The sequence below is a fragment of the Homo sapiens genome, chromosome 19 (assembly GCF_000001405.40).
Source record: "Homo sapiens chromosome 19, GRCh38.p14 Primary Assembly".
In the NCBI taxonomy this organism is placed as follows: Eukaryota; Metazoa; Chordata; class Mammalia; order Primates; family Hominidae; genus Homo; species Homo sapiens.
Window position 1 is genome coordinate 42,827,778 of NC_000019.10, and position 8,028 is coordinate 42,835,805.

Consider the following 8,028-nt stretch of genomic DNA (forward strand, 5'->3'; position numbering starts at 1 on the left):
TGTGATCCACCCGTCTTGGCCTCCCAAAGTGCTGGGACTACAAGTGTGAGCCACCGTGCCTGGCCTGATAATTTTTTTTTAAGGAGGCTGCAGGTGGGTATGCATGCTCATTTGAGGTGTTCTTCCCTTATTGAAGATTACTAAAATCACATGTGTTGAAAAGCATTTGGTATTATTTACTTAATTGATGAGTACCCATTTATTTTTACATTAATTTGATACCATGTATAAACAATATATAAACATAGGTATGGACATATACATATGTGATATGTGATACAGCATAGAACATATACTTGTGCACATAAAGATAGAGGGAGACAGAAATACTTCAGATTTTTGATTTTAAAACTTTATGCATGAACACATAAAACTCACTGTTAAAAAAAATAGCTGGATTTAAGTTGTGCTTTTGTAAATAGAAAAAGTTAACATTTATCTGAGGAAGCCCTTGCTGAGTTTTAGAGAAAGTAGGTAGTAAATTTACATCTCAAAGCACACACAAACACACACACACACACACACACACACACAGAGAGAAGGAGTTTGGGTGTGTTCAAGGAAGATTAAAAGTAGATGCCAAGGTAACACAAAAATGATAGAAATTTATAACAGGATTTTATAAGGAGACCAATTTTATTTCCATACATAGCTTTTATTTTGGTCTCTGTTTTCCAACTTTACTCCAGGAAACACACTACACAGGCTCCCTTCTTAAGTGCTGGTGGGCCACTGCACATGCAGACAGCCCACTTTAAGGGAAGAATCAGGGGAGAAGAGATGCAGACCCCAGAATTATGCCAACATACAAAAGCCTAAGTCAAAGGTCAAACCACACACTTGAAATCTCATCACCTGTTTGGCCCTGTTTTAAGTGTGCTTTACTTTCTTTAATTTCTGCTCTAAAGCTTTTAAATAAACTTTCACTCCTGCTCTAAAATTTGCCTAAGTCTCTTCTTCTGCCTTATGACACTTAGTTGAATTCTTTCTTCTGAAGAAGCAAGAATTGAGGCTGCTACAGACTTGTACAGATTTGCTGCCATTAATATAGTTTAGTGCCATTCTACATGATAGAATATATATATTCTTATATTTATATATATATATATATATAAAATTTATGTATTCATAGAGGCCTTGAATCTACATTCTTGCTGCACTTTATGTAAACAATCCAGGTATAAGACTAAAACTTATTTTGGAAATATATTGGTCCCATATGATTTCTATTTCATAAAAATGGGAGACAGGAGGGGGAAAATTATTTTTCAGAAGGAAACAACAGAAAAATGGTTATTACATTTTAGATCTGTTCATTTTTTTTAAATTTTGTTATTTACCTACAATTTGGACTGAATCCTAAATTTTTTCCTGGCTACAAATTTCAAAACTAATGGTTTCAGAATTTTCTTCCATTTTTCTTCCATTTTGGTATATTATAAATTAAAACTGTGCTTTTTAAATTTTTATCTTTTTTTAATTACACTTTTAAGTTCTGGGATACATGTGCAGAACCTGCAGGTTTGTTACATAGGTATACATGTGTCATGGTGTTTTGCTGCACCCATTAACCCATCATCTACCTTAGGTATTTCTCCTAATGCTATCCCTCCCCTAGTCCCCCACCCCTCAACAGGCCCCAGTGTGTGATATTCCCCTCCCTGTGTCCATGTGTTCTCATTGTTCAACTCCCACTTTTGAGTGAGAACATGCGGTGTTTGGTTTTCTGTTCCTGTGTTAGTTTGCTGAGAATGGTGGTTTCCAGCTTCATCCATGTCCCTGCAAAGATATGAACTCATCCCTTTTTATGCCTGTATTGAATTCCATGGTGTATATGTACCACATTTTCTTTATCCAGTCTATCATTGATAGGCATTTGGGTTGGTTCCAAGTCTTTGCTATTGTGAATAGTGCCACAATAAACATATGTGTGCATGTGTCTTTATGGTAGAATGATCTATAATCCTTTGGGTATATACCCAGTAATGGGATTACTGGGTCAAATGATATTTCTTGTTCTAGATCCTTGAGGAATCGCCACACTGTCTTTCACAATGGTTGAACTAATTTACACTCCCACGAACGGTGTAAAAGCATTCCTATTTCTCCACATCCTCTCTAGCATCTGTTGTTTCCTGACCTTATAATGATCACCATTCTAACTGGCATGAGATGGTATCTCACTGTGGTTTTGATTTGCATTTCTCTAATGACCAATGATGATGAGCTTTTTTTCCTATGTTTGTTGCTCACATAAATGTCTTATTTTGAGAAGTATCTGTTCATCTGCTTCACCCATTTTTGATTGGCTTATTTGTTTTTTTTCTTGTATATTTGTTTAAGTTTCTTGTAGATTCTGGATATTAGCCTTTTGTCAGATGGATAGATTAAAACTTGCAAGCTGAAACTCGACGACTTATGTAAACTTCTGGATAAATCATAGCAACTTATATATAAACAACCTTTGTGCCTGCTGATGTGTGGACTACACAAAAGGTACACATGAACACTGTATTCAGACTGCAATTCAGAAAAATGTGTCACATTGCCATTGCAATTGGAAGATGCTTCAGAAACTCTAGAAAACCTAGTCTATAGGGTTAGAGTGATGTTTGCCAAACGAATTGCTCTAATTGAAGCAGCTGTTGTGTGACTTTAATAAGGTTCCAGGATTATACTGTCCCTTTTTTGCTGTGACTTCCCTTTGCCCTTTTCTGATTTGTCTTCATCCCCTTTTCCATGGGGCATGACTTCTTAAGAATGAGCCTTCCTAGTGATGTAGGATGAGATGAAACATACAGTCACAAAGTCATGTCTTCTATGATGCTTTATCTGAAAGCTTTTGAAGAATTGGGGGGCCAGGTGTGCTGGCAGAGGCCTGTAATCCCAGCAGTTTGAGACTCTAAGGCAGGAGGATCACTTGAAACCAGGAGTTTAAGACCAGCCTGAGCTACAAAGGGAGACCACGTCTCTACAAAACATAAAACAAATCAAATTAGCCAGGTGCAGTGGTGCATGCCTATAGTCTCAGATACTTGGGAGGCTAAGGTGGGAGGACTGCTTCAGCCCAGGAGTTCAAGGCTGCAGTGAGTACACTCCAGTCTTGGTGACAGAGCAAGGTTGTGTCTCTAAAAGAAGAAAAAAAAAAAAAAAAAGGAAAGGAAAGGAACGGGGTAAACAGGAAAGCCAAAGATCTCGGGCATCTCCAGATGATTCCCTGAACAAATTGTTTTTTCTTGGCTTCAAAACCTTTCAAGATGTATATTTCTTTGTAAAAGAAGGACATGCCAATTGTAACTTTAAGTGAGCAATCCAAATCCAGCTCCTAAAACCGAAGTATTTTAACTCTCATTCTGATAATATTTATTTTCTGAGGCAAAGAAGAAAGACAAGATTAGATCAATTGTTTCTCTGCCCACTCCATCTCTTCCAACCTGCCTTCTCCCCTTTAATCAAATGTATAAATACTAAGCCTCCTGAAACCTCTTCAGAGAAAACACAAACCACAGAGGTTTTTTGCAACTCATGTATTCCCAGGGTGCACTATCAGGCTCTGGCTCAATAAAACTCAACTGGTCAAGACTCTTGCCTCAGTCAGTCATTCTGGATAACCACCAGGAGTCCTGCAAAGCCCTTCAGTAATCTATTGCCTGCCTAGGTGATGTGTACCTAGATGAGTCATATCTTCATGAGCCAAACACTTGTCTTCCTTTTCTGTCTTTCCCAACCCTACCACTCAGTGCTGTGTGCTCTGATCTGACCCCAGTTCCCAGGTTGTTTGTATAGGTCTAAGAAAGCAAGACCAGGAGGGGCAGGTTGAGAAGGAAGTAAGAGGCCAACAGCAGTGGAAAGTGGCAGGTAGAGCTGTCATTGCTCAAAGCCACACACACTGGGTGCATTGTATGAATTTTTCTGGATTCAAAATCTTTTCCCTGTGTGTCTATCTAGAAACTCACCCTCCTCCTACTTTCTTCTCATTACATTTTCTGTTTCTAGTGCACTTGTTTATGTCCAGAGAATGGCCATGCAAATAGTTGACAATAGAATAAACAATGACGTTTTGTGAGACTTGGTAGCTGGCCTTTGTTTTTTCCAAAAGAGATTGAGGTTTCTAAAAGCTAGCTTTTATGCAGGGCTGTGCAGTTGTGAGTGTAGTTTTATGGAACAGGTGCATAAGTGAAGGGTGAGATAGAAAACAAAATGCTGGCTGTTTGTCAAATCCTGAAAGTGAATGGGACAAAAATCATTTTTGAAGAAGGATGTCATTCAGGAGACCTTGTAAATCTTAGAGTGTCCTCTTATCAGATGAAGTGGAGGATGAGGTTGAATTATGGAGTTAGGTGACAGTGGGTACATACTTCTCTGCCTCAGTTTTTTTTTTTTTTTTAATCTGTAAAAATGGGGATTGTGGTACTTGGGATTTTTTGGTGAGGACCGTAGTTAACTGGAAAGCTCTCAGGATAGTGCCTGGTACATAGTGAATGCTGCATCAGTGTGAGCTATTATAATTATGGGAATAGACAAAGGTGCCACCCTGGCCATCCAGAGTGGGGAGATATTTTCTGGTCAGAGTCCAGGCAGGCCAGCTGGAGATGAAGCTGATTAGTGGGGACGCTTAACTTCCAGGAGTGGAAGAATTTAGGAGGAGTAAACAGAATGCACAACATTCTGTAAACATTCCTTTACCCAACAGTAGGAATACTCAGAGTGGGTGTGTCTTCCGTGACAATCATTATCTCCTGGGAATCTAAAAATGTGTCCTAGAGTCAAATGGCTTTGATGTAAGCCAAACCCAGAAATGGGCTTCAGGGCTGCCTGGCACATAGCATTCATTCATCTTGAAAAAGGAAAGCATTCATCTTGCTAAAGGAATCCCCTTTTCTGGCCCAGGCCATTATTTTTGTTTTAGTACTATCCTAATTTTTAAGGTATAAGGAGAAAGACTGAAGAATAAAATAATAAAGTACGTGTATGAAATAACAGGGTAGAATTGAGACTGGTACGTGTAAGTTAAGAGAAATTGTGTATAAATTTTGTGTGAACAGAAAAAGGATTTCTTGTTGCAAACAGACCTCTCCATATAAATAATACCTATTGCCTCGAGTGGATAGCAGACCGCATCACAAGAACATTCCAGCAGAGTCATGAGAGAATGGTTAGTGTGGCTTCTTTAATTGGCAGGTTAGACTGAGTAAGTTACTGAAGAGAAAGGAGTTGAAGGAGAAGATGGGTGCGGGCAAGAAAAATGGGAAGGTGAAAGGAAAGGACTGAAAGGAATGTTTACCAAGGGCTCATCAGGTACCAGGCTCTGTGACTAATGTCTTACACATGTTAATTTACTCTTCCACTGTCATTTTCTGATGCAGTAAGAGTCAGCCTTACACTGCAGATGAGGAAAGAGGCTGAGGGAGGTCAAATGAGTGGCACAGGGTCATCCAGCCACTTCATAGCAGAGCTAGTGTGTTTCACTGTGGTTTGTGCCGACAGAAAAGTGAGACATGGAAGGAAGGCAAAACATTTTTGTTGTGGGTGATGTTTATGAAAGTGACCCTTATGAGGCAGAATAATGGCCTCTTAAACATGTCCACATCCGGGCTGGATGCAGGGGCTCACGCCTGTCATCCCAGCACTTTGGGAGGCTGATACGGGTGGATCACGAGGTCAGGAGTTCGAGACCAGCCTGGCCGACATGGTGAAACCCCGTTTCTACTAAAAATGCAAAAATTAGCTGGGCGTGGGGGCGCATGCCTGTAATGCCAGCTACTTGGGAGGCTGAGGCAGGAGAATCATTTGAACCTGGGAGGCGGAGATTGCAGTGAGCCTAGATTGTCCCACTGCACTCCAGCCAGGGCAACATGAGTGAAACTCTGTCTCAAAAAAAAAAAAAAAAAAAAAAATCTACATCCTAACTCTTGGAACACATGCATTTACTTTTCTTGGCAAAAACACTGTTCAAAGGTGATGAAGTTGAGTATCTTGAGAAGGAAAGCTTATTCTGGCTTATCTGGGTGGCTCCCAGTTTCATCATAAGGGTCCTTGTAAGTGAAAGAGCAAGGCAGGAGGCTCAGGGTGAGAATGATGCAGTCTGAGAGACTCCACTGGCCATTGCTTCCTGTGAACATGTGTGATAAGACAAAATTATAACTAATTTAGTTATAGATGTAATTGGCTTTTATTTGTGATTTATGATTTGGGGCAGCTCTCCCTCTACAGATGCCTCAGCATCCCAAGTAGCTGGGACTATATTGCGGGATCTGGCCTGCAGCCTGCAATGCAATGGGGCTCTTTCTTTGTTCTCAGGCAGATCGGCAGGTTGAGAAATAAAAGACACACACAAGATAGTGAAAGCTGGGTCCAGAGGGGTCACCGCCTTCTGGTCCTGCGATGCTGCCAATGCACTGGATATACCAGCATTTATTATTAAGTTTAGTGAGAGTGGGGGTAGGTTAGTGAGAGATTTAGGGCCATTTATAGGCTCTCCACAAGGGTCGCATTCCATTCCCAGAGCTATGGACATCTGCTTTTCTGGGATAGGAATCTTGGTAATGTGAAACCTCCCTGACTGCATGTCCGTTCATAGGCTCTCTGCAGGGGGAAGCACATCACGTGCTGTTGGCTCATTCTGGCAGTCCAACCTGGCATTTGTCTTTACACAATCCTGCATGCAATTTCGTATTTACAATAATCAGGAGCATTTCATCTTTTATTCCATAGCAATAGTTTCAGGGGGTCTCCCTACATCTCCCCCTTTTCTCCAATTTAAATGAACCATAGCAATCATAGCTTGGCACTGATCACGATTGGATTGAAGAATATTTTTTTCCAATTTTACACATGAACAATAAACCAATAGCACAAATTATACACAGAACAAAATTAACGATAGTGGATCCTCCCAAAGATTTTACCTATTGAATGGGGTTGAGATTAGATAACCCCTCAGAGATACTGTCTAAAACTTCAGCACTGGGTAAAGCAGTTAAGTGTGCTTGAGAAGCTTCAAAAATCTGTTCTTTTAGCTTGCTTAAGTCTAAACTTAAATTATCTTCACTTCCTTGTAAATGGCATTTTACTGATTCCCAGTTGTGAACAGACTCATTATGTTGGAATGGAGTTATACAAAAATCAGAAGTATTCCAATCAGGTTGCATTTGTAATCTATGTTCTAAACTCATAATTCTATCTCCCATCCATGTAACAGAAGCACATCATGTGCTGTAGGCTCATTCTGGCAGCCCAACCTGGCATTGTATTTACACAATCCTGCATGCTCTTTTATATTTACAATAATCAGGAGCATTTCATCATTTGTTCTGTAGCAATAGTTTCAGGGCTTCTCCCTACAGGACTACAGGTGCGCGCCACCATGCCCGGCTAATTTTTGTATTTTTAGTAGAGACAGGGTTTCACCATATTGACCAGGCTGATCTCGAACTCCTGACCTTGTGATCTGCCTGCCTTGGCCTCCCAAAGTTCTGGGATTACAGATGTGAGCCACTGTGCCTCGCCAATAATTAACACATTTCTTTGAGTTTTTGTAATTCCAGCACAAGAGAAACCATTTGATATTTGAAGAATGGCTGCACACCAGTGAAAACATCTGTAGATTGCACCACACGAGGGAGACTACCAGTATGACTATCAGGAGGAAAATATCAAGAGTTTGGAATATGCACCTTAGGCAAGATGCAAACCAACTACAATAGGATAGATCAAAGAAGAAGCCAGAAGAGTCTAGTCATTTTAACTAGGCAGCACATTTAATGATTTTTACAACTGAGTCTGTAATACCCAATGTATTTATCCATGTGCAACAAGAAGCGTCAGAAACTGCACAGGCTCCCCTCTGTTCAGCTGATAGAGAGCAATTCTATTATCTAGCATTGCATGTCTATGTTAAATTAAAACAGGGAGCGAGAATAGGCAAGTATAGAAGTGGAAGCCTAAAAAAAACTCCATACATTTGAGGAAAACATTGTGTTACAGATGCAGCTAATGTCAGCCTTTGGGTGGACTAAAGGATCTCTT